General features: G+C 42.4%; 3 annotated features.

The window, feature by feature from the left end:
- Positions 8,647 to 8,866: an enhancer, noted in NCBI's record as "active region_13852". NCBI's record gives its function as "activates an Ori minimal core promoter by ATAC-STARR-seq in GM12878 lymphoblastoid cells {active_cell/tissue: GM12878}" and the evidence as "EXISTENCE:reporter gene assay evidence [ECO:0000049][PMID:35858748]".
- Positions 15,727 to 15,836: an enhancer, noted in NCBI's record as "active region_13851". NCBI's record gives its function as "activates an Ori minimal core promoter by ATAC-STARR-seq in GM12878 lymphoblastoid cells {active_cell/tissue: GM12878}" and the evidence as "EXISTENCE:reporter gene assay evidence [ECO:0000049][PMID:35858748]".
- Positions 22,970 to 23,189: an enhancer, noted in NCBI's record as "active region_13850". NCBI's record gives its function as "activates an Ori minimal core promoter by ATAC-STARR-seq in GM12878 lymphoblastoid cells {active_cell/tissue: GM12878}" and the evidence as "EXISTENCE:reporter gene assay evidence [ECO:0000049][PMID:35858748]".

The raw sequence follows: 27,753 nt of genomic DNA, 5'->3' as shown, positions 1-27,753 counted from the left end.
AAATGACTTGTGTTTTCCTTTTTTTCTTTTTTTTTTTTTTTGGGACAGAATTTCATTCTTGTCGCCCAGGCTGGAGTGCAGTGGCCCAATCTCAGCTCACTGCAACCTCTGCCTCCAGGTTCAAGCAGTTCTCCTGCCTCAGCCTCTCAAGTAGCTGGGATTAACAGGCACGTGCCACCACACCTGGCTAATTTTTGTATTTTTAGTAGAGACGCGGTTTTACAATGTTGGCCAGGCTGGTCTTGAACACCTGACCTCAGATGATCTGCCTGCCTTGGCCTCCCAAAGTGCTGGGATTACAGGTGTGAGCCACTGCACCCGGCCATAAATGACTATTTTATTGTGACCTGTGATCATGTTTTGTGATATCAAGTGTTTTAAAATTTTTGTAATTGGCAAAATTTCTAGGAGCACAATTTAAAGGTCTAAATTCAGTCTTTTTGACCTCAAACTAACTTTTTTGGATATTAGGTTCCCTCAAGTCCAAGAGAGATATCTTAGGTTAATTTGTTATTTTAGAATCATGCAGGAAACATTGTCAGATCCAAGGTGGTGTTTAGCTTCCTTCGGGTTATATTTTATTTTTGAGATGGAGTCTCACTCTGTCGCCCAGACTGGAGTACAGTGGCTCAATCTTGGCTCACTGCAACCTCTGCCTCCCAGGTTCAAGCAATTCTTCTGCCTCACCCTCCCAAGTAGCTGAGATTACAGGCACGTGCCACCATGCCCGGCTAATTTTTGTATTTTTAGTAGAGACAGGGTTTCACCATACTGGCCAGGCTGGTCTCAAACTCCTGACCTCGTGATCCGCCTGCCTCGGCCTCCCAGAGTGCTGGGATTACAGGCGTGAGCCACCACGCCTGGCCCTTAGGGTTATATTTATATAGATGAGTTGTTAATATATGTTCTAGGATTGTATGAGATTCCTAAAATTCTGATATGTCAATGTGTTTCTTGGCATAATTTGAGTAAGAACCTATTTTCTTTTATAATGGAACAGTGTGAGGTTCCAGCAAGGCCAATTTAGAAGGATCTATGTGGACAATGATTTTTGCTGCACTTTTTGGGGGTAATCAGGCCAAGTATATGGGACCAAAGCTTTTTTATTTTTTATTTTTTAGACAGAGTCTCACTCTGTCACCCAGACTGGCTCACTGCAACCTCCATCTCCTGGGTCTCCAACTCCTGGCCTCAAGTGATCCACCTGCCTTGGCCTCCCAAACTGCTGGGATTACAGGCAGAAGCCACCATGCCCAGCCATGGACTGAAGCTTATTTTGCAGGTAGGTTCATCCTGCTTTGACTTGTCTTTGGTGGGGGCAGTGGTGGCTGGACAGAGAATGATTGTGTTTCAGAAGGTGGCCACATGGTCACCTCCTCAGCATGAAGCAGCCAGAAAGATCAATGGTCAGATTCCCCATGATTAAAAAAATTGATAAATAGAGGGGACTGAAACTGACCCAATAGTCCCATAGACTGTTTTGTTTTTGATAAATAGAAATGGACACTTCCAGTCTTAAACCTTGAAACTTATGTTTGTTTTATCTGAATTTCTTCTTCTTCAAGAAGGAACCTCCCCACCCCAACCCAGGCATCTCAAAAAATATCAAAGAACTGAAACTCACCAGATCATCACATCCAGACCCCTCATTCATCACGATTACTTCCTTATGCCTCCCAAGTTCCCATTTTCCCACACATCATTACATTTCTTCCCAGCTACATAAACCCCTAATTTTAGTCAGTCAAGGGGATGGATTCAAGACTGATCTCCCACCTCCTCAGCTGCAGCACCCAATTAAAGCCTTCTTCCCTGGCAATACTCATCACCTCAGCCATTGGCTTTCTGTGTGGCAAGCAGCAGACCTAGACCATATCCCTGGTGTTTCAGTAACAAGATGAGGGTCTAATTTCATTCTTCTGCATGTGGATATCTATTTTTCCCAGCATCATTTATCAAAGAGCTCTCCTTTTCCCATTGTGTGTTCTCAGCACTTTTGTCTGAAATTCATTGACTGTACATGTGTGAGTTTACTTCTGGACTTTTTATTCTGTTCCATTGGTCTGTGTGTCTGCTGTCATTCCAGTAACATACTGTCTTGATTACTATAGATTTGTAATATAGTTTGAAATCCAGAACTGATGCCTTCAGCTTTGTTTTTCTTGCTGAATTGTGTTTATTATTCAAAGTCTTTTGTGGTTAAATTTTAGAATTTTGTTTCTATTTCTATGAAAAATACCCCTGAAATTTTGATAGGGATTTGCATAGAATCTGTGGATCACTTTGTGTAGCATGGACATTTTAACAATATTAATTCCTTCAATCCATGAACATGGGATATCTTTTCATTCATTTGTGTCTTCTACAATTTCTTTGATCAATTTTTTTTTTGTAAACGGATCTTTTACTTCCTTGGATAAATTAATTCCTGAGCATTTTTTATTCTATTTTAAATGGGATTGCTTTATTGATTATTTTTTCAGATAGATTGTTGTCAGTGTGTAGAAACACACTGAATTGTCTACATTGATGTTGAATCTTGCAATTGAATTTGTTTATTAATTCTAAGAGATTTGTTTGTGGCATCTGTAAGATTCTCTAGGCTGGGTGCAATGGCTCACATCTGTAATCCCAGCACTTTGGGAGACCGAAACAGGCGGATCATTGAGGTCAGGAGTTCAAGACCACCCTGACCAATGTGGAGAAACCCGGTCTCTACTAAACATACAAAATTAGTCGGCGTGGTGGCGCATGCCTGTAATCTCAGCTACTCGGGAGACTGAGGCAGGAGAATCACTTGAACCAAGGAGGTGGAGGTTGCAGTGAGCCAAGATAATGCCATTGCACTCCAGCCTGGGCAACAAGAGCGAAACTCCATCTAAAAAAAAAAAAATTCTATACATAAGATTATGACATCTACAAACAGAGGTAATTTTACCTCTTCCTTTCCAATTTAAATTTCTTTTCTTTCTTTCCCTTACCCAAATGCTCTGCCTAAAACTTTCAGTACTATTTTGAATAGAAGTGGTGAGAGTGGACTCACTTGTCCACCACTGAGTATGATGTTGGCTGTGGGCTTATCATATATGGCCTTTATTATGTTAAGATACCTTCCTTCTATACCTACTTTGTTGCTAGCTTTTATCGTGAAAGGATGTTGAATTGTGTCAAATGATTTTCTGCATCTAGTGAGATGATAATATAATTTTTATCCTTCATTCTGTTAATATGGTGTATTATATTTATTAATCTCTGTATTTGGAACCATCCCTGCATCCTAGGGATAAATCCCACTTGATCATGGTGAATGAGCCTCTTAATGTGCTGTTGAATTAGGTTTGCTAGTACTTTGTTGAGAATTTTGCATTTGTGTTTCTAAGGGATATTAGCCTGTAATTTTCTTTTCTTCTAGTGCTTTTTCTGGCTTTGGTATCAGAGTAATACTATCCTTGTAAAATTAGTTTGATAATATTCCCACCTCTTCAATTTTTTGAATAGTTTGAGAAGATTAGTGTTAATTTTTCTTTTAAAGGTTAGTGAAATTCACCAGTGAAGCCACCTGGCCACAGACTTGTCTTTGTTGGAGCACTTTTGATTACTGATTCCATCTCCTAATTTATTATTGGTCTGTTCAGATCTTTTTTAATTTCTTCATGATTCAGACTTGGTAGGTTTGTGTTTCTAGGAATTTATCATTTCTTCTAGGCTACCCAATCTGTTGGTGTATAACTGTGCATAATAGTCTCTTATAATCCTTTGTATTTCAGTAGTATCAGTTGTAATGTGTCCTCTCATTTCTGATTTTGAGTCTCCTCTCTTTTTTCTTAGTCTAGCTAAAGTTTTGTCAATTTTGTTTATCTTTTTATAAAACCAGCTCTTAGTTTCATTGATCTTTTCTATTGCGTTTGTAGTCTCGATTTTATTTATTTATTGCTCCGTTATTTTCTTCCTCTACTAACTTTTGCTTAATTTGTCTATTTCCTTGAAGTATAAACTTAGGTTGTTTATTTGAGATCTTTCTTTTCTCTCTCTTTCTCTCTCTCTCTTTTTTTTTTTTTTTTTTGTGAGATGGAGTCTCACTCTGTCGCCCAGGCTGGAGTGCAGTGGCATGATCTCAGCTCACTGCAACCTCCGCCTCCTGGGTTCAAGCAATTCTTCTGCCTCAGCCTCCCAAGTAGCTGGGACTACAGGTGCATGCCATTACCCCCGGATAATTTTTGTATTTTATTAGAGACAGGGTTTCACCATATTGGCCAGGCCGGTCTCAAACTCCTGACCTCATGATCCACCCACCTAGGCCTCCCAAAGTGCTGGGATTACAGGCGTGAGCCACCCGTGCCTGGCCTCTCTTTTCTTAATGTAGGCATTTATTGCTATAAACTTCACTCTTAAAACTGCTGTTGCTACCTCCCATAAATTTTGATACAGTCTTTCTCCATTTTTGTATTGTCAAGCTACTCTTTTATTTCTCTTTTTATTTCTTCTTTGACTCATTTATTGTTCAGGAATGTGTTGTTTAATTTTCATATATTAGTGCATTTTCTAATTTTCTTCCTATTTTGATTTCTAGTTTCGTATCATTGTGGTGAGAAAACATACTTGATATGATTTCAGTCTTCTTAAACTTGTTAAGACCTATTTTGTGACCTAACACTTGATCTGTCCTAGAGAATGTTCCATGTGTATTTGGAGGAAAAATGTGTATTCTGCTGCTGTTTGATGAAATGTTCTATATATGTCTGCAAGGTCCTTTGGTCTGCAGTGTTATTCAAGTCTACTGTTTCCTTATTCATTTTCTGTCTGGATGTTCTATCTATCATAGAGAGTGGGGTATCAAATTCCTCTATTAGTATGTATTGCTATCTATCTCTCTCTTCCCATCTGTTAATATTTGCTTATATAATAGAAACTCCAATGTTGGATGCAAATATATTTATAATTGGCAGATCATCTTTACGAATTGACCTCTTTATTACTATATAATGACCTCCTTTGTCTCTTGTGACAGTTTTTTACTAAAAGCTAATCTTGTCTGATATAAATACAGTTACCCCTTCTCTCTTTTGGCTACCATTTGCATGGTATATCTTTTTCCATCCTTTTACTTTCAGCCCATATATGTCCTTAAAAGTAAAATTAGTCTCTTGTAAGCAGCATATAGATGGCTCTTGTTTTTTTAATCCATTCAGCCACTTTACATATTTTGGTTGGAGAATTTAATCCACATACATTTGAAATAATTATTGATAGGTAATTACTATTTCTGTTTTCCATATCTTTTTCTGACTGTTTTTGTAGTTCCTTCATTTCTTTCTTCCTCTCTTAATGTCTTTTGTGATTTGATGATTTGGGGTAGTGATAAGCTTTGATTCTTTCTGTCTCTCTTTTGTGTATCTACTGCAGGTTTTTTCTCTGTGGTTACCATGAGGTTTACATAAGCATCTTATAGTTATAACAGTTCATCTTAAGTTGCTAGCAACTTAATTTTGATCACATAAAAAACTCTACACTTGTACTTCCCTCTTATATGTTATTAATGTTACATTTTATATATTTTAATATTTTGTATCCATTAACATTACTGTATAGTTTTAAAATATTTTTGCTTTTTATTCTACGGTTTAAAATGATCTGTACACACCATTACAGTATTAAAGCATTCTGAATTTGACTCTATATTTACCTTTACAGTGAGTTTTATACTTTTACTTTTTTTTTTTTTTTTTTAATGAGATGGAGTTTCACTCTTGTTACCCAGGCTGGAGTGCAATGGCACGATCTCGGCTCACCACAACCTCTGCCTCCCAGGTTCAAGCAATTCTCCTGCCTCAGCCTCCCGGGTAGCTGGGATTACAGACATGTGCCACCACACCTGGCTAATTTTGTATTTTTAGTAGAGACGGAGTTTCTCCATGTTGGTCAGGCTGGTCTCGAACTCCCGACCTCAGGTGATCCGCCCTCGGCCTCCCAAAGTGCTGGGATTACAGGCGTGAGCCACCACACTTGGCCTGTTTTCATATTTTTATTTGGCATTCTTTTGTTTCAAACTGAAGAATTTCCTTTAGCATTTCTTGTCATGCAGGTCAAGTGGTGAGGAACTCCCTCAGTTTTTGTTTATCAGGGAAAGTTTTTATTTACTTATTTTTATTTCTAAAGGATAGCTTTGCTGTTATAGTACTCTTGATTGACAGTTGTTTTTGTTCTCTTTTGGCACTTGGAATACATCATCCCACTTTCTCCTGGCCTGGAATGTTTCTGCTGAGGAATCTCTAATACTTGAATAGAGGTTCTGTTGTATATGATGAGTTGCTTTTCTCTTGCTGCTTTCAAATTCTTTTTATCTCTGATTTTTGAGAATTTTATTACAATGTGTCTCAGTGACGTTCTCTATACCTTAACCCTATTTGGGGTTTTTGGGGCTTCATGGATCTTCATATTCATTTTTCCTTTTCCAGATTTGGAAATTTTGGGGGGTTTGTTTTTGTTTTTGTTTGAGATAGAGTTTCATTCTGTTGCTCAGGCTGGAGTGCAGTGGAACAATCTTGGCTCACTGCAACCTCCACGTCCCAAGTTCAAGTGATTCTTATGCCTCAGTCTCCCAAGTACCTGGGACTATTGGTGTGCACCACCCCTCCAGCTCATTTCTGTATTTTTAGTAGAGACAGGGTTTCACCATGTTGGCCAGGCTGGTCTCACACTCCTGACCTCAAGTGACCCACCTGCCTCAGCCCTGCAAAGTGCTAGAATTACAGGCATGAGCCACGACGGCTGGCCTCAAAATTTTTCTATCATTGTTTTTGTAAATATGTTTTCTCTCCTTTTCACCTTTCCTGCTCCTTTTGGAGCACTTACATAATGCATATATTGGTTCACTTAATGGTATCTCATAAGCCTATTGAGCTTTTTCAGTATTATTTATTCTTTTTTATGTTTGCTCCTTTGAATGGATAATTTCAAATGTCCTGCCTTTGAGCTCACTGATTCTTTCTTCTTCTTGATCACATCTGCTGTTGAAGCTCTTCATGGAGACTTTCAGTTCAGTCCTTGTTTTCTTCAGCTCCAGAATTTCTTTTTAGTCCTTTTTTAAATATAGGTTCTATCTCTTTGTTGAATTTGTCATTTCATTATGTTTTGTTTCCCATTCAGTTGTCTCTCTGTGTTCTCTTATAATTCACTGAGCTTCTTTAAGATGATTATTTTGAATTTTTCATCTGGAGTTCGTTGATGTCCACTTCTTTTGTGTCAGTTTCTCATACTTTATTTTGTTCTTTTGGTGATGTCATGTTTCTCTGATTATTCATGATCCTTATGGCCTTGCATTAGTGTCTGTGCATTTGAAGTAGTCAGTTCTTTACATACTGGCTTTAGCAGGAAAAGCACTTTGCCAGTCAGCCTATCTAGAGATTCTAGGCAGCCTGTTTGGTGGGGAGTTGCTGGTGGACTTCTCGCTGGAGTCCTTGAGAGGGATTGCCTGGTGCCTATTTCAGCAAGAGAGGAGGCTTGGCACCTGGTTCCACAGGGGCTGACCTGGTGCCTGGATCCCCTGGGATGGAACTGGAGTTTGAGTCCACATGAATGATTGCGTGTGTGTGTGTGTGTGTGTGTGTGTGTGTGTGATAACAGATCAATTTTAATTCTAGCACCTGAAGCTATACAAGGGTATGCTCTATAAACTTCATGGGACTGTTGCACATGCTGGATAAAATGACATCTGTGCAATACCACTTAGCATCTCAAAATCAGGAACATACTATTGAATTGCTTAAACACAATCCACAGAATTAAAAACAAAAGCAGATGCCATCCACAGTTACACTAATTGTCCATTAAAAGTTTACACTTAATGCTTGATATAACAATCAATATCTAGCAGGGAATATTGAAAGGGATTTCAGAGTCTCATCCTGTTGTACTCTATTGGGAAGGTTTCTTGAGTACATATGTGACTGGCCAAAGATGGATACAACCAAGACCAGACCAGCAAGTAAAAGTTCTACAACAGTTTCTGTAGTTTCCACTTGCTTTTCTCTGGACAGCCTGTATCCGTGTTCGCTAAAGTGGAACTCGGGCTCAGGTCTGCAGTGCAGCCAGGAACTCACTTTACTCTCCATCCCCCATGAAGTGGGTTTCTCTCTCTGTGCTGCCTTGGGTTCAGGAAGGGGATGATGCAGATCAAGTGAAACTCTTTCCTACCATCTTCAGTACATCTTTTCTTTTCTTTTTCTTGTTTTTCTTTCTTTTTGCCTTTTTTTTTTTTTTTTTTTTTTTGAGATGGAGTCTCGCTCTGTCGCCCAGGTTGGAGTGCAATGGCGCGATCTCGGCTCACCGCAACCTCTGCCTCCCGGTTCAAGACATTCTTCTGCCCCAGCCTCCTGAGTACCTGGGATTACAGGTGCGTCCACCACGTCTGGCTAATTTTTTTTTTGTATTTTTAGTAGAGATGGGGTTTCTCCATGTTCATCAGGCTGGTTGGAACTCCTGACCTCAGGTGATCCACCCACCTCGGCCTCCAAAAGTGCTGGAATTACAGGCGTGAGCCACCATGCTCGGCCTATCTTTTCTTACCGTTATTTTCCATTCAAGTTCTGTGGTCTCTCAGCTGATTCTTTGACTCTTGTGAAAGTATTTTTCTGCACAGAAGATTATTGAAATGAATGTTTCTGTGAAAGGATAAAGGTTCGAAACATATCCTGCCACATTGTTGACTCACTCTCAGAGTCATGCCCAGTCTTGCCAATTTCCACTGTTGAATAAGGGGGATTCCACGTGGTTTTACTTTTTTTTGGAGTAATGTAGCTAAATATGCTCTCTAGTATTGTCCACTTGTATATTATTTTATGTGAAGTGTTGCTTCACATCTTTTATATCTTTTAAAAGTAGGTTGTCTTTTTCTTTTTGCCTTACAGAATTTTTTTTTTTTTGTGACAGAGTCTCGCTCTGTTGCCCAGGCTGGAGTACAGTGGCACGATCTCAGCTCACTGTAACCTCTGCCTCCCAGGTTGAAGTGATTCTCCTGCCTCAGCCTCCTGAGTAGCTGGGATTACAGGTGCACACCACCACGCCCAGCTAATTTTTTTTTTTTTTTTTTTTTTTTTTTTTGAGAAGGAGTCTTGCTCTGTCGCCCAGGCTGGAGTGCAGTGGCATGATCTCGGCTCACTGCAAGCTCCGTCTCCCAGGTTCATGCCATTCTCCTGCCTCAGCCTCCCAAGTAGCTGGGACTACAGGCGCCCGCCACCATGCCCGGCTAATTTTTTGTATTTTTAGTAGAGACGGGGTTTCACCGTGTTAGCCAGGATGGTCTCGATCTCCTGACCTCGTGATCCGCCCGCCTCAGCCTCCCAAAGTGCTGGGATTACAGGCATGAGCCACTGCACCCGGCCAAGCAATTATTTTTATAATCCCACTGGATTGTAGTCCCTGATGGCACTAATACCACACTGTTTAACTTGCTGTAGCCTTTTAATAAGACTCAATATATAGTAGAGTCTCTCCATTCTGTTCTTTTTACAGATCATCTTGTCTTTCTTAGTTCTTTGCATTTCCCTGTGTTTTTATTAGAATCAGTCTCTCTCTCTCTCTCTCCTCTCTCTCTCTCACGCGCACACACATACACACACACACACGTATACTTCCTGCTGAGGTATTGACTGGGATTGCATTGAATCTATAGATCAATAGATATTGGTGTAGAATTGGTGTCTTCATGGTATTAAATGTTCCAACCTCTTGGCCATGGTATATCCTTCTATTTATTTAAGCTTTCTTTAATTTTCTCAGTAACATTTTATGGTTTTTGGTGTAGAATTTATATAGTGCTTCCATTAGATGTAGTCCCAGGTATTTGATATATTTTTGTTGAGTTTGTAAATGACATAGTTTTACATGTCTTTTCTAGTTGACAGTGGTATATAAAAATATGATTTATTTTTGTACTTTGGCTTTGCCTCCGGTGTTGTTGCTAAATCAATATATTAAAACTATGTGTAGGCCGGGCGCAGTGGCTTATGCCTGTAATCCCAGCACTTTGGGAGGCTGAGGTGGGCGGATCCCCTGAGGTCAGGAGTTTGAGACCAGCCTGGGCAACATGGTGAAACCTCATCTCTACTAAGAATACAAAAATTAGCCGGGTGTGGTAGTGCATGCCTGTAATCCCAGCTACTCAGGAGGCTGAGGCAACAGAATTGCTTGAACCCGGGAAGAGAAGGTCGTGGTGAGCCAAGATATACCACTGTACTCCAGCCTGGGCAACAGAGCAAAACTCTGTCTCAAAAAAAAAAAAAAAAAAAAAAAACTATGTGTAGGTTGGGCGTGGTGGCCCACACCTGTAATCCAAGTACTTTGGAAGGCTGAGATGGGTGGATCACCTGAGACCAGAAGTTTGAGACCACCCTGGCCTACACGATAAAACCACATCTCTACTAAAACTACAGAAAAAATTAGCTGGGTGTGGTGGTGAGCACCTGTTGTCCCAGCTACTTGGGAGGTTGAGGGAGGAGAATTGCTTGAACCTGGGAGGCAGAGGTTGCAGTGAGCCGAGATTGCACCACTGCACTCCAGCCTGGGCGACACAGTGAGTCCATCTCAAAAGTAAAAATAAAACTATGTGTAGATTATTTAGAATTTTCTTTTTTTTTTTTTTTTGAGACAGAGTCTCACTCTGTCACCCAGGCTGGAGTGCAGTGGTGTGATCTCGGCTCACTGTAAGCTCCACCTCCTGGGTTCACGCCATTCTCCTGCCTCAGCCTCCCAAGTAGCTGAGACTACAGGCGGCTAGTTCTTTGTATTTTTAGTAGAGACAGGGTTTCACCGTGTTAGCCAGGATAGTCTCGATCTCCTGGCCTCATGATCCACCCACCTCGGCCTCCTAAAGTGCTGGGGTTACAGGCGTGAGCCACAATGACTGGCCTAGAATTTTCTACATACATAATGAAGTAATCTCTAAATAATGACTCATTTCTTCCTATTCAATCTTTTTGTCTCATTGCATTGACTAAAACCTCAAGTTCAATATTAGCTAACTCATTTCCTAATTTTAAAAAACGTGCAGCTCACTGCCAGAGTTCATTTAACTTTACATAAACACACTTGTTGAGGCTGAAGCAAATCTGGTTGAGTTTCAATGTGCAAATAAAATATAAAAACTGTTCTTGGAGTTATTTCTGAACAGAATTTGTCTCTAATCCTAATGTAGCAGAAATGTATATGATGTTACATTGGGATTAGAGACAAGAGTATTCTCGGGGCAAATGGGAAATGGGTTAAAAGTAGTAATAACAATCCTGGCCGGGTGTGGCGGCTCACGCCTGTAATCCCAGCATTTTGAGAGGCCAAGGTGAGCAGATCACCTGAGGCCAGGAGTTCGAGACCAGCCTGGTCCAACGTGGCGAAATATCATCTCTACTAAAAATACAAAAATTAGCCAGGCATGGTGGTGGGCACCTGCAATCCCAGCTACCCGGAAGGATGAGGCAGGAGAATTGCTTGAACCCGGGAGTTGGAGGTTGCAGTGGGCCAAGATTATGCCACTGCACTCCAGCCTGGGTGACAAACTGAGACTTCATCTCAAAAAAAAAAAAAAAAAGAGAACATAAATTATTCTACTATAAAGACACACGCACCATATGTTTATTGCAGCACTATTTACAATAGCAAAGTCATGGCACCAACCCAAATGTCCATCGATGATAGACTGGATAAAGAAAATGTGGTACCTATACACCATGGAATACTACGCAGTCATAAAAAGGAAAGAGATCGTGTCCTTTGCAGGGACATGGATGAAGCTGGAAACCATCACCCTCAGCAAACTAACACAGGAACAGAAAACCAAACACCGCATGTTCTCACTCATAAGTGGGAGCTGAACAATGAGAACACATGGACACAGGGAGGGGAACGTCACACATCGGGCCTGTTGGGGGGTGAGAAGTGAGAGGAGGCAACTTAGAGGACGGGTCAGCAGGTGCAGCAAACCGCCATGGCACACATATACTTATGTAACAAACCTGCATGTTCTGCACATGTATCCCGGAACTTAAAGTTAAAAAAAAAAAATTGACCGGGCGCGGTGGCTCACACCTGTAATCCCAGCACTTTGGGAGGCCAAGGCGGGCGGATCACGAGGTCAGGAGATCGAGACCATCCTGGCTAACACGGTGAAACCCCGTCTCTACTAAAAATACAAAAAATTAGCCGGGCGTGGTGGCAGACACCTGTAGTCCCAGCTACTCGGGAAGCTGAGGCAGGAGAATGGCATGAACCTGGGAGACGGAGCTTGCAGTGAGCCGAGATCACGCCACTGCACTCCAGCCTGGGCAAGAGAGCAAGACTCCGTCTCAAAAAAGAAAAAAAATTAGCCAGGTGTGGTGGTACACACCCATAATCCCAGCTACTCAGGAGGCTGAGGCAGGAGAATGGCATGAACCCGGGAGGCAGAGGTTACAGTGAGCTGAGAGCACACCACTGCAGTCCAGCTTGGGCGAAAAGAGCCAGACTCCATCTCAAAAAAAAAAAAAAATCACCAACATATTTTCTATCTCTGGTTTCTCAAAAACTAAGGATTACTTACCTTATTAAATCTTCACATACCCCTACTGAATCCCTGGGTAGATGCGTTCTCTCTGTTTACTAACCAAAATATTAAATATAATCATTGCAACTCTCTCTTATGTCTTCCAGTGGTCAGAAGTGTATCATAGCATTTCATATTTATCTTATCTTTGTAACCTGCATTTTTACCAGTTCAATATAATTTTCACATATTGATTGCTAAAGAGTGAAATGAAGGAATTAGGTTAAAATGTTTTTATTGGAAACTATCATGTCAAGTACCTTTTTTTTTTTTTTTTTTTTTGAGACAGAGCCTCACTCTGTCACCCAGGCTGGAGTGCAGTAGTGCGATCTCGGCTCACTGCAACCTCTGCCTCCCGGTCTCAAGCGATTCTCCCACCTCAGCCTCTCAAGTAGCTGGGACTACGGGAGTGTGCCACCTCACCCAAGGAATTTTTGTATTTTTCTTTTTTGTAGAGACAGGATTTCACCATGTTGCCCAATGTGGTGAAGTACTTTTAATGTGGAAATTTCCAATAGCCATATGAGTTTGGGCATATCTCAGAAAGTCAGCAAACAGTGAGATCAAGCAAAAAGACGGAGTAGAAAGCTCTGGGAGCCCCTCCCTCCAGTGAAATAAACAGTGAACTGAGGGGCAGGAGACACAGAATCAATGATTTCAGAACTAGTCATCCTGTTGCAGCACTTATAATAATGAGAGGAGTGCTTGATGAAAAGAGAGACTGAGACTTTAGAAAGAGAACAGCCTTCACAAACCAGCCCCCACTCCCCATTCCTCCGTCCGAGTGGGGCAATTTGGAGACAGTCCATTTTCCTCAAACAGGTGACCAGTGCCAGAGCAGGCAGTTGAGACCTTGGCCTCCAAAATTTGGGGAATTTGCACTCTACTAGGTCTGGCAATTCCTGAGAAGCCAATAAGATGCTTGTTTTGGCTCTCTTGAGTCCCTTCGTATCCCTCAGACTTAGAGGTTCGATGCCTTGTAAAATCTTTGTCATGTTACTAACTGACCACAAAATGGAAAAGACACTTCAGTGATCACACCCAAAGGATACACAGTTGCCAAAAAACAGTCGGGAAAAGTCAGAAATGAATAGTTTCAGCCTTCAGTAAGCAGAAATCAGCAATCCATGAAGACTTGGAGCATCGGAGTTCCAGACTTATGAATCATAATACTCAGGATGTCCAGTTGTAATTACAAAGCATAAAGACATAGGAAAGTATAACTCATTTACAATAAACCATGATTTAACATATACTGTTACTAGGGAAGCCCACACATTGAAACTATTAGTCAAAGACATTAAATCAACTGTCTCCAATGTGTTCAGTGAGATGAAGGAAAATATGGACAAAGAACTAAAGCAGATCATGAGAATGATATATGAAAGAAGTGAGAATGTCAATAGAAAGAAATAAATTATTAAAAATTCACAAACAGGAATTCTGGAGCTGAAAGTTACAATAATGGAGGTGATAATTCATTAGACGAATTCAAGAACAGATTTGAGTAGGTAGAAAAAAGATCAACAAACTTGAAGATAAGGCAACCATAAAGTTAGCAAATCCAAGAAGCAGGGGAAAAAAGTGAAGACAAATACACAGAGCCGGCCGGGTGCGGTGGGATGTTAACAATGGGATTGTTTGTGGAGCAGGGGGCTCTAGGGGTGTGTGGGAACTTTTTGTATTTTCTGCTCAATTTTGCTGCGAAACTAAAACTGCTCTAAAAAGACTTTTTTTTTTTTTTTTTTTTTTTGAGACGGAGCTTCACTCTTGTTGCCTAGGCTGGAGTGCAATGGAGCGATCTTGGCTTACCGCAACCTCCACCTCCCAGGTTCAAGCAATTCTCCTGCCTCAGCCTCCCAAGTTGCTGGGATTACAGGCATGAGCCACCACACCCATAAAAGCCTATTTTTTAAAAAGTTTTGACTAGTACCTTTTCCCCATTACACCTCTGTCCCACTCATCCTTTAAAATGTATTTTGACTGTGATATCAGCTGGGGCATGACTTCAGAGGAAAAGGTATTGTATAAAAGGAACTCTGGAGTCAAAATAAAGTTTGAGTTTTGAATTTTGGCTTTGCTTTATTTATTTATTTTTATTTATTTATTTATTTTTCTTTTTGAGACAGAGTCTCACTCTGTCACCTAGGCTGGAGTGCAGTGGCACGATCTCAGCTCACTGCAACCTCCGCCTCCTGGTTTCAAGTGATTCTCATGTCTTGGCCTCCCAAGTAGCTGGGATTACAGGCACCCGCCCCCATGCCTGGCTAATTTTTGTATTTTTAGTAGAGATAGGGTTTCACCATGTTGGCCAGGCTTGTCTCGAACTCCTGACCTCAAGTGATCAGCCTGCCTCAGCCTCCCAAAGTTTTGGGATTACAGGCGTGAGCTACCACGCCTGGCCAGCTTTTACCTTTAATAAGGTACTTAACCTTTTTAAAACCTAAGTTTTCTTATCATTGTTCACTGTGTCCTTTCATATACGTACGTTATGGAAATATCTATGGATTGTTTTTAAAATTCTAGTTGTTGCTGAAAATTCACAAAAGGCATCTCAAGATAATACTACTTATCTCCCAGGGCTGTTGGAATATTAACTGAGACCATTTTGTTGCTGTTGTTTTTGTTTGTTTTTTGAGACCATATTTATTTTTAAAATAAAAACAGAATGCAAGAAAGTTGGCCTGACACAAATGGGAACTCATCAAATGCAATCTCCAAGAGGGTAGGAACTTTGATTTCTGCACTATTGTATTAATACCTTGGAAACAGCAGGAACTCAGAAATATATGTTCAGTAATTTTAAAAAAAAAAAAAAGCTTGGCTAGGCTACTGAATGATCACAGACCACATGGAAAGAAAAAGAGGCTTGATGCCATTACAGGTGGGACTATGGAGTTCTCTCTTGGAGGGGTGACTGTATTTTGCAAGCAGGAAGGAGCATGAGCTGAGTTTCTGTGATCAAATGGGTGGGTTTTGATAGCGATTCGTGTTCTCCACCTAGTATTTTCAGCTTTCTTTCTGACTCTTGCAAGCATGCCACTTCCCTGCACCCACTAAAGTTAAGCAGGGTCACTGACACGCTTTGGTTAGTGAAAAGGGACTGGCAATGATGTGTATCCATCTGTGGTTTTCTACTTTACACTCCTAGCACAAGGGTCATGTCAAGATGAAAACCGTCTAGGCATGAGCCACAGCGCCTGGCTGGAACATCAGTTTTACTGCAAGATTTGGAAGAAACAAATTGAATTGATTACCAAGAGAATGTGCAAGAACTATTAAGTCTTAGGACACATGGCCAAGACCAAAAGTCTCTGGTGATGGGCTGGGGTGGGGCCCCGTCCCACAGCCCTCGGACCAAGTAAGAAGAAAAAGTAGGAGGGGGAGGTGGCTTATGCCTCTAATCCCTGCACTGTGGGATTAGCTGGGTGTGGTGCCTCATGCCTGTAATGTCAGCTACTCAGGAGGCTGAGGCAGGAGAATTGCATGAACCCAGGAGGTGGAGGTTGCAGAGAGCCAAGATTGTGCCACTGCACTCCAGCCTGGGCGACAGAGTGAGACTCCTACTAATAAATAAATAAAAGAAAAACTAAGTTAAAATTTGTAAGGGCATAAAACATAATTTTAATAGGAAGCTATGAGAATTATCTACACTTGCAGATAATTGAATGAGCTGAGTTATCTGATGATTGATTGAATGATCGAATTATAGGTAACTGTGATTTTTCTTTTTTTTTTTTGAGATGGAGTTTTGCTCTTGTCACCCAAACTAGAGTACAGTGGCAAGATCTCGGCTCACTGCAACCTCTGTCTCCCAGATTCAAGCGATTCTCCTGCCCGCCACCACGTCTGGCTAATTTTGGAATTTTTAGTAGAGATATGGTTTCACCATGTTGGCCAGGCTAGTCTCGAACCCCTGACCTCAGGTGATCCTCCCGCCTCGGCCTCCCGAAGTGCTGGGATTACTGGCATGAGCCACTGCGCCTGGCCTTTGCTACTTAATTTTATAAGACATCTACTTTTTCAAATATTTGCTGTTTTTGCTCTCATGATATGAAAATTTTTTTATTGTGAGGGAGCATTTCTATGAAAACAATAGTAGAAATTTGTGCCAATTTTGGTTATTAAAATAATAAAATTGTTGGGTTAGTTTGTTATTCTTAACCAAATGCTCCTACAGATAGCATATTGCACAGATGGTTTGATTGTTTTTTTTTCATCTTAGGTGAATTTTCCTTAATTTTATTCATCAAACTGTATTTACTTGAGATAAATAGACATTGTAGTTACTGTGTGCTCTACAGATCTCTACTTTTTTAAAAATAAAAATTCTCGGCCAGGCGCGGTGGCTCACGCGTGTAATCCCAGCAGTTTGGGAGGCTGAGGTGGGTGGATCAGAAGGTCAGGAGTTCAAGACCAACCTGGCAAAGATGGCAAAACCCCATCTCTACTAAAAACACAAAAAATTAGACAGGCGAGGTGGCGCAAGCCTGTAATCCCAGCTACTCGGGAGGCTGAGGCAGGAGAATCGCTTGAACCTGGGAGGCAGAGGTTGCGGTGAGCCAAGATTGCACCACTGCACTCCAGCCTGGGCAACAGGGCAAGACTCGGTCTCAAAAAAAAAAAAAAATTCTCAGTCAAAACTCTGACCTATTTTATAAAAATTTGGATTGTAAATACTACTTCGACGTAACTTATATGTACATTAATGATTAGTAAGTGGAGTAATTCTATTCTTTAAAGGGGGGAAGTCTATATGAGTGTATTAATTTGTCAAAATGGTACAGTTCAGATTGTACCTTTCAATATGTATACATTTTATCTAAAAAGAAAACCCAAAAAACTAATAAATTGGGGGGTAGGAAATGGGTCAAAGTATAGATGAAGCAAACATGGCATGACTAGTAGCTGTTCAACCTGGGTGACAAGTCTATTATACTATCTTTGTATTCTGTATATATTTTTGTTTTTTGAGATGAAGTCTGGCTCTCGTCACCCAGGCTGGAGTGCAGTGGCATGATCTCAGCTCATTGCAACCTCCGCCTCCCAGGTCCAAGCAATTCTCAAGCCTCAGCCTCCTGAGTAGCTGGGACTGCAATTGCACATGACCACGCCTGGCTAATTTTTGAATTTTTAGTAGAGAGGGAGTTTCACCATGTTGGCCAGGCTGGTCTCGAACTCCTGACCTCAGGTGATCTGCCCGCCTCGGACTCCCAAAGTTCTGGGATTACAGGCGTGAGCCACTGTACCTGGCCTGTATTTTGTGTAGGTTTTTAATGTTTGGTGACAAAACACTTGTTGAAAATGAAAAAAAAAAAATTAGTCGGGCATGGTGCCGTGCACCTGTGGTCCCAGCTATTTGGGGGACTAAATAGGAGGATTACTTGAACCCAGGAAGCAGAAGTTGCATTAAGCCGAGATTGTGCTACGGCTCTGCACCCTGAACAACAGAGTGAGGCCCTGTCTCAACAAAAAAAAAAAAAAAAAAGGAAGAAGCCTATTTCAGCCTACCATGGGCAGAACCCCTTGCTGATCTGAATGTTGTGTGAGTAGAAAATAAACTTTTTTTTTAAGTGAAATAAGTTTAGTAAGAAAGTAAAGGAATAGGCCAGGAGTGTTAGCCTCACAGCTGTAATCCCAGCACTTTGGGAGGCCAAGGGGGGCAGATCACCTGAGGTCAGGAGATCGAGACCAGCCTGGCCAAAATGGTGAAACCCCATGTCTACTAAAAATACAAACAATTAGCCGGGTGTGGTGGCAGGCACCTGTAATCTCTGCTACTCTGGTGGCTGAGGCAGGAGAATCACTTGAGCCCAGGAGGCAAAGGTTGCAGTGAGCTGAGATCGCGCCATTGAACTCCAGCCTGGGCAACAAGAGCAAAACTCCGTCTCAAACAAACAAACAAACAAACAAACACAAAACAGAAAGTAAAGGAGTAAAGAATGGCCACTCCATAGGCAGAGCAGCCCTAAATACACCTTTATTGTGTAAAGTCTGGCCAGGGGTGGTGGCTCACGCCTGGAATCCCAACAATTTGGAAGGCCAAGGTGGGAGTATCACTTGAGGCCAAGAGTTCAGGACCAGCCTGAGCAACATAGCAAGAGCCCATCTCTCCAAAAACTTTTAAAATTAGCTGAATGTGAGGCCGGGCGCGGTGGCTCACGCCTATAATCCCAGCACTTTGAGAGGCCAAGGCAGGCGGATCACGAGGTCAGGAGATCGAGACCATCCTGGCTAACACAGTGAAACCCCGTCTCTACTAAAAACACAAAAAAATTAGCCGGGCGAGGTGGCGGGCACCTGTGGTTCCAGCTACTCGGAAGGCTGAGGCAGGAGAACGGCGTGAACCCGGGAGGCGGAGCTGGCAGTGAGCCGACATTGCACCACTGCACTCTAGCCTGGGCAACATAGCAAGACTCCAACTCAAAAAAAAAAAATAGCTGAGTGTGGTGGTGCATGCCTGTAGTCCCACCTTCTCAGGAAGCTGAGACAGGAGGATCACTCAAGCCCAGGAACTGGAGGCTGCAGGGAGCTATGATTGCACCACTGCTCTCCAGCCTGGGCGACAGAGTAAGACCCTGTCTCCAAAAGCAGTAATAATAATAAATAAATAATAATAAGAGGCCGGGCGCAGTAGCTCACACCTGTAATCCCAGCACTGTGGGAGGCCAAGGCGGGCACATTATTTGAGGTCAGGAGTTTGAGACCAGCCTGGCCAACATGGTGAAACCCTGTCTCTACTAAAAATACAAAAAAATTAGCTGGGCATAATGGCAGGCTCCTGTAGTCCCAGCTACTTGGGAGGCTGAGGCATGAGAATCACTTGACCCTGGGAGGCGGAGGTTGCAGTGAGCCCAGGCCACTGCACTCCAGCCTGGGCAACAGAGTGAGTCTCTTTCTCAGATTAATAATAGCAACAGTCGTAGTGATACAGGAGGTAGAAAGAAATTATTTAGGCAGATAGTGAAGGCAGCAGAGTCCTCGGCAGAGCTTCCCTTCTAACAAAAAGCAGCCCCCAAATCATTTCTTTTCTAACAAGCAGCAGCCTGAAAAATTGAGCTGCAAACATAGATAGGCACAGCTGGAAGCTTACACGGGAGAATGCCGGCAGGTGCGCCAATAGAAGAGAGCTACCCAGGGGCCAGGCAGGCCCTACATGGACGCTTCCTCTTCCCTTTTATGTTACCACGCGTGCAGTAACAGAAATGGGCAACATGGCGCAGCTCGGGCAGAGAACCTGCCTGCATAATAAAAGATTAGGGTCAGAGGCTACCAGAAATTTGCACCCTATGCAAATGCGACACATGGTCTAACCAGTTTTTCACACCCTATATAAATCAAACACCGTTTGCTCACTAGCTTCTCTATAAAACCCCCTACATTTCCCCGCTGATACGGCAACCCATTTTTCCGGGACCCCTCTCTGCAGCAGAGAGCTCTCCTCTTTCTTTCGCCTATGAAACTTCCATTCTCGACCTCACTCTTTCTATGTCTATGTCCTTGTTTTCCTTGGCTGTGAGACTGTGAACCTCGGGTGTTACTCCAGACAAGGAGGCCGTTTCAGTAGTAGCAATGATAGTAATAGTTCTCACCAGTTCCTTACTACGTACTGGCTCTTTGCTAAACAGTTTACAAATATTAATTCCTTCCAACCTCATAGCAAGCCTGTGAGATACTTTTATTACTTCCAGGGAACTGAGGCACAGAGAGGTTAAATCACTTGCTGCAGGTCACACAGCTGGTAAGTGTTGGAGCCAGAATGCAAATTTGGGCTGCAAGACCAGAATGAAGGTGGAAAAAAATGAAGCAGATTGTAGAAGTGTAGGGTTGGATCTGATCTTTAAAACATCTTTGCAATTTGTTCATCATGAATTTTTTTGACCTTCACTTTTTAGATTTTTTTTAAAATGTTGCCTGAGAATATCATTTATTTTGACAATGACAGTTTGAGATGCCCCCTTGAAATTTGCACTTGAGGCACAAAATTCTGTTACTGATAGTAATAGAACCCTGGAGTTTCAGCTGGGTACATGGCTAATCAGAATGAAGACTACATTTCCCAGTCTCCCTTGCCTGAGTCATGTGACAAAGTCCTGGCCAATGGGTTGTAAGCGGAATTTATTAGCGCAAGCACTTCCTTGAAAAGGAAGGATAGTTGCTTCCCTTCACTTTTTGACCTTCCTGTTTCCTGGAACTCAGCCATGGTGGTGTGTCACTTTGTACTTTGCAGACAAGGGCATCACCTTTGATGTGTCGGAGGCACTTCAGTGAAAGAATTTTGGCTCCTAAAGATTTTGCAGAACAGAGATGACATGCCAGCCCAGACTTTCATGTAGGTGAAAATTGTTTCTTGTTGCTTCCTTTTGCACAGAATTCTCCTAGTCCTGCTGGCTCATGGGATAAAGAAAGGAACAGGAATGAGCCGGGCATGGTGGTTCACGCCTGTAATCCCAGCACTTTGGGAAGCTGAGGCGGGTGGATCACCTGAGATCAAGAGTTCGAGACCAGCCTGGCCAACATGGTGAAACCCCGTCTCTACGAAAAATACAAAAATTAGCTGGTCATGGTGGTGGGCGCCTGTAATCCCAGCTACTGGGGGGCTGAAGCAGGAGAATCCCTTGAACCTGGGAGGCGGAGGCTGCAATGAGCCGAGATTGCATCATTGCACTCCAGCCTGGGCAACAAGAGCAAAACTCCGTCTCAAAAAAAAAAAAAAGAAAAGAAAAAGAAAGAAAGGAACAGGAATGGAAGAGTGAGAAGTGCTGAGACAAAAGTGTCTTGATACCCTCCCTCCCAGCAGAAATCCCAGCAGTGAGAGGCATGCTATATAGTTAAGCGGGAAGCTGTAAGTTGAAGGATCCCTGTCCTTTTCCTGTTAGAACTCTGCCAAGGGTAACACTGAACCCGCTACGCTGTCTGGGTTATATACCCTGGGGTTCTTTGACGTGTGCAGAGAAAGAATTCAGGACACAGGCACAAGTGAGTGGGTTAAGAGTGGAAAGTTTAATAGAAGAAAGGAGAGAGGGCCGGGTGGGATGGCTCACGCCTGTAATCCCAGCACTTTGGGACCCAGGCTGAGGCAGGCAGATCACCTGAGGTCAGGAGTTCAAGACCAGCCTGGCCAATATGGCGAAACCCCATCTCTCCTAAAAATACAAAAAAGTAGCTGGGCATGGTGGTGCACGCCTGTAATCCCAACTACTCGGGAGGCTGAGGCAGGAGGATTGCTTGAACCCAAGAGGGGGAAGTTGCAGTGAGCTGAGATCAGGCCACTGCACTCCAGCCTGAGTGACAGAGCAAGACTCCATATCAAAGAAAAAAAAAGAAAAGAGAGCAGAGAGGAGCTGAGAGAGAGAGAGAGAGAGATCCGAAAAAAGGGGAGCCAGCAGACCACAGCAGATTTTATAGGCAGGCTAGAGAAGGCGGTGTCTGTTTTACACAGGGCTCACAGATTGATTTGATTAGATATGACGTCTACATAGTGTGCAGGGAAGGCTGGTTGCCCCACCCTAATTCTGTGTGTGTGTGTTTTGAGATGGAGTCTCACTTTGTCACCCAGGCTGGAATGCAGTGGTGTGACCTTGGCTCACTGCAACCTCCACCTCCCGGGTTCGAGCGATTCTCCTGCCTCAGCCTCCCGAGTAGCTGGGATTACAGGTGCTCACTAAAACGCCCAGCTATTATTTGGATTTCATCATTGGCCAGGCTGGTCTCGAACTCCTGACCTCAGGTGATCCACCCGCCTCGGCCTCCAAAGTGCAGGGATTACAGGCGTGAGCCACAGCACCCCGCTGCCCCAGCCTACCCTTCTTAAGCAAATAGGCTTTCTAGTTGATCTGTGCCATCTTGTCTGCTCCTTTACAGCACACGTGGCTGGCAGAGAAGGGAAGATAGAGCCGCCATCTTCAATATATCTAGTCCTTAGTTCCCGCTGGCATTCATCCAGGCAAGCTCCCAGCTTGCAGGCTGCTGTTTGTTAGAAAATGATTTGGGGCTGCTTTTCATTAAAAAGAAAAGCCTTACCGAGGACTCCCATGCCCTTGCTCTCTGCCTAAGTAATTCCTTCTCTCTCTCTTTTTTTTTTTTTTTTTTTTTTTTGAGACGGAGTTTCGCTCTTGTTGCCCAGACTGGATTGCAATGGTGCAATCTTGGCTCACCACAACCTCCACCTCCCAGGTTCATGCGATTCTCTTGCCTCAGCCTCCCGAATAGCTGGGATTACAGGCATGTGCCACCACGCCCAGCTAATTTTGTATTTTTAGAGAGATAGTGTAGCAGGACGAGCTGCAGACAAAACTCCTCAGACACCGAGTTAAAGAAGGAAGGGGTTTATTTGGCCGGGGGCATCGGCAAGACTCCTGTCTCAAGAGCTGAGCTCCTCGAGGATGCAATTGCTGTCCTTTTTAAGGGCTCACACCTCTAAGGGTGTGAGCGTGAGACGGTCATGATTGATTGAGCAAGCAGGGCCTACGTGACTGGGGGCTGCAGGGTGTGGCGCCGGGCTGTCTGCTTGTGGATTTCATTTCTGCCTTTTCGTTTTTACTTTTTCTTTCTTTGGAGGCAGATATTGGGCATAAGACAATATGAGGGGTGGTCTCCTCCCTTATCCCCCCCTTTTGAGACTCTCGCTCAATACTGGAGTTCTCACTTTCATTTTTACTACCCGTGTCTTCTTGCAAGACAGATCAATAATGATTCATATAGTACACTTGTGCTGAAGCATTTCGGTGAACTAAGTTAGCGATGACGCTTTTTATCATTTGAAGAAGTACAGGTAGCAAACAAGCAAGCAGTAAGTAGGTTCTTATTACTATTATAACTCTTACTGTAAGAGTTTTAAATCTTCCTAGCGCTGGGAACTATTTTCTAAACATGGCCTCAGGATCAAATTTATGCCACACTTGCACGGGCACATGTGCCAGTTTTGTCATAGCTCTAACTGTGTCTTCAACTACTTGCCCTTGATTATCTATGTGTAGGCAGCAATTAGTAAGGTTAAATTTCCTACAGACTTCTCCTTCAGCTGCTAGCAAGTAGTCGAGAGCTAATCTATTTTGAGAGATAGCATTTCTCATCTGAGTTTCTTGCTGGGCCAGAATGGTCAAGGCTGTGCCGGTTTTATTGGTGATTATTTTTAAGACAGCTTGTAACCATATGATTTGGTTGATCACGTAAATGGGAGTCCAGTATCTTCACGAGCCATCTTGTGCCTAAGTAGCAGGACTATAATATTGTATGATTCTCTCGGGGGCCATTTATCATTTTTTCAATTTCTTATAGCTATGCTTCTCTTTTCGAGGGAAGCATAGACAGGGAAGCCCAGGAGTTCACCTGTTTTTATGGGCAGTAGGAAGAAAGATAGTTTAATAGTGCTAATAACACAACTGCCTGCCTACTGGTTAGGCAATTTGGCATAAGCTCTATGCCTACATACGTAGCATAATCTAGTCGGGGCTGTCTAGTCCCGGTGGGACTCCGGCTATGTCTACACGGTTTGCAACTTTGGGAATTTTTTACTAAGTGGATTTCTCTCTGTGTGATTTGAACTCTACCAAGTGACTGTTTTTGTGGTACCATTATACAGTTTCTGTCTCAGACAACTAAATCGTCCTACGGGGTGAGTGAATTCTTTTCTTTCTCTAGCTATGCGATATTGTCCAATAATTGAGGCTTTTAGGACCTAGAAATTATCAGGGTGATTCTTTTGAGCTGGGAATTCATCAGGAACTGGGTCTGTAGGTACTAATTCTCGTGCTTCCTATGGCCATTGATCTCCTGTGACAGTTCTTCCACATATATAACATGAAGTGACATTGAGAGACTGGGTCACATGCTCGGCTAATTGCAAAAACAAATTTCTTGTTTTTCATGGAATTTCTGGTACTGGCACTTTTAGTTTATCATAGAAGGTTTGAAATACTGGCTCGGGAGAGCATTTATACACTTTTTCTCAAACCACGATATTTACTTGAAGATCCAGTCTAGCTCTTATCAATTTTTTAGGGTTACACGTTCCTCTTTTTTCCAGCGAGGATCAAGGGGATTGGTTAGTACTAGCTCTAAGGGGTTACATTGTCCTTTAGTACAGGAAGAGCCATTTTTTCCTTTCTGAAGGTGGACTGGATCCTTTTCATTTTTTTTTTTTTTTTATCTAATTGGCCTAAATGACACAAGACCATCACTTTGGGAGGCCGAGGTGGGCGGATCACCTGAGGTCGGGAGTTTGAGAGCAGCCTGACCAACAAGGAGAAACCCTGTTAAGGGAGGGGACAGCCCCTCATATTACTTTTTGAGAGAAAAGAAAGTGGAAGATAAACCAAGTATATAATTTCTAAGAAATTGACCTTTTGTTTTAAATGTGGGGACTGTGGCAGTGGACTTTATAGTCCTTAGTGCCTTTTTACTGAGAAATTTCCTTCAGCACCTATTTTTATTAGTTTTTAGACCAAAGAAATCTAAACACTATTTTATGTTTAATAATGCTTTTTGTATGATTTTTATACCAGATAAGCTAAATTTTATTTTTATATTAGTGTGTTATTAATGTTAAACCTAATTTTAATAAAACCTTGTAGACATATTTATCTAATTTTTAATGTTTGACTATAAGGTATGATTTTATAGACTCTTTTCAACCTTTTATAATTTTTGCTAAAGAGCAGGTTGGTGGTTTAAGAAAAACCTGTTATGCTTTTACTTTAATGTCCAGAAAAACTGGGTGATAGTTCTTTAACTTTAGCTAATATGTTTACACACAGAATTTTCTTTACAATTAACGTTTTAAAACTTGCTTAAATCTTCAAAACAATAATTTTTTTAACTTAACTTTTTAATGTAGGTAAAAATGTACACTCTTATGCCTCCTTATAATCCTTTTACTAAAGGTATATTTTACTTTTCTTATACACCTTGCACATAAACTGTTTTTTTTTTCAATAGTTTTACATTCAGGAGGCCTAGTTACTTTTAAATTATACAACATTTTTTGCATAAATTCTTTTTTTAACACTATTTTTATAACTTATTTTTCTTTCACAACTTTTACAGGCAATTTTTCGACATGCCTTAACTTTCGGACTTACTACAAACATTTCTTTCTTTAAACAACCAGTTAATTTATTTCAAGACAAGAATTTACCATATAATACTCTTTTTATATAAATTCTGCCCCACCTTTTTTTTTCCTTTTTTTTTTCTCGAAGATGATAACCATTCTTTTCCAAAGCGAACCTTTTTTTATGTCTGTGGACTAGACTGTCTAAGGCCAGAAGCATAGAAGTTACTGTCATACATGTTAAACTGTTAACTTTTAGCAAACTTTACTTTTGTTGAAAACCTTGTAAGTCGGGATTTTAATTATCCTTTGCTATTGATAAGACCTTGTTTTCTCTAAATTAGAATTGGTATAGATGGCTTTTTTTTTTTTTTTTTAATTACCCGGGAGGAACCATCATTCATGCTGTCCTGAAGGGAGTTCCTCCTACGTCTGGTCAGACGTTCGTATTTGGTAATTAAGATTTAGATCCCCTGTTAGGAAACCTGCTGAGTGAATGGAATTTTCAGTGGTTAATGTTAAATCATCTTCTTTCTTTCTCTCTTTGACTTTGTCACTCTCTCTTTGACTTTCCTTTTGCCTCTGTCTCTTTCTCTCTCTCTCTGCCTCTCTCTTTCTCTCTCTTTTTTTTTCTTTCTCTCTCTCTCCTTGACTCCCTCTTTGTCTGTCTCTTCCTCTCTGTCTCTTTCCTTTCTCTCTCTCTGCTGGTCTTTCCTTGCCTCTGCCAGCCACTTATGCTACTGTTCTCTCAACCACTGTGTGTTGGGGGCGGGAGGTCTAAAACCAGCTGTAACCAAGTGTCTATGTATGGGAGCTGGTCTGGGTGCCCTGGCTTACAGATTACCTTGTGCCATACCTTCGAAACAGAGGACCTCTCCAGGCTTCCTTCTAATGGCCAACTTACCTCTAATGCTGGCCAGTCTATCTTACACAAAGTTTTAAGTTTTCCTGGTGTCATAGTACTCCATAGTCTCCTTTAAATGTTTTTTTGAAAATTTTCAACCTAGTTCCTAGTAGGGTGGGCTTATTGGTGCCTGACCTATGCTTCTTCGAGACAAAACACCACGCTCACACCACACGCACACCACAAAACAAAGAACGGGTAAAAAGGGTACACACACACACACTTTTGCAGTTTGCACCAAACCAAAATCAAAACCAAAATCGGAGTATCCAGATATCCAAGCCACGTCAAAACCAAAACCAAAGTATCAAGCAATCCAAGTCAAGTCAAAAACAATAACCAAAGTGCCAGTACAGGCACGCCGTGGGTGATCAGGCCACGCTTCCACTCAAATGGAGTGGGCAAGTTCCTGAGACCAATCCTGTCAAGCAATTCAAACCAAGTCAAAACCAAAACCAAAGTGCCGGTACAGGCATGCCGTGGGTGATCAGGCCACGCTTCCACTCAAACGGAGTGGGCAAGTTTCAAAGACTAGTCTTACCAAGTTTTAGATGTCCAGACTCCAAGTGCCCGTTCCTTCCCGGCGTTCAGCCACCGCGTTGATCCTCCACGGGGGCCTGCCACACACTGCTCTGGCGAGGCGTCCCACCGGCGCAAATGCCTACCCGGAAGCACTCTCAGGATCCGCGCCACTCGGGCTGGTCGGAGTCCCCTGCAGGGATGTTCCACAGGGCGGGCTTAAGTGCCTAAGGAGCTGCCTCGACCCTCTGCCAATCACCTCGCTTCCCGGTCAGGGAACCAAGAAATGTAGCAGGACGAGCCGCAGACAAAACTCCTCAGACACCGAGTTAAAGAAGGAAGGGGTTTATTCGGCCAGGAGCATCAGCAAGACTCCTGTCTCAAGAGCCGAGCTCCTCAAGTGAGCAATTCCTGTCCTTTTTAAGGGCTCACACCTCTAAGGGGGTGAGCGTGAGAGGGTCGTGATCGATTGAGCGAGCAGCGGGTACGTGACTGGGGACTGCATGCACCGGTAATTAGATCGGAACAAAACAGGATAGGGATTTCACAGTGCTTTTCTCTACAATGTCTGTAATCTATAGATAACGTAACCGATTAGGTCAGGGGTCGATCTTTAACTACCAGGCCCAGGGTGAGGTGCTGGGCTTTCTGCTTGTGGATTTCCTTTCTGCCTTTTTGTTTTTACTTTTTCTTTCTTTGGAGGCA

This window comes from Homo sapiens, chromosome 19, assembly GCF_000001405.40.
Source record: "Homo sapiens chromosome 19, GRCh38.p14 Primary Assembly".
Lineage (NCBI taxonomy): Eukaryota > Metazoa > Chordata > Mammalia > Primates > Hominidae > Homo > Homo sapiens.
This window is presented reverse-complemented; position numbering and strand designations above follow the sequence as displayed.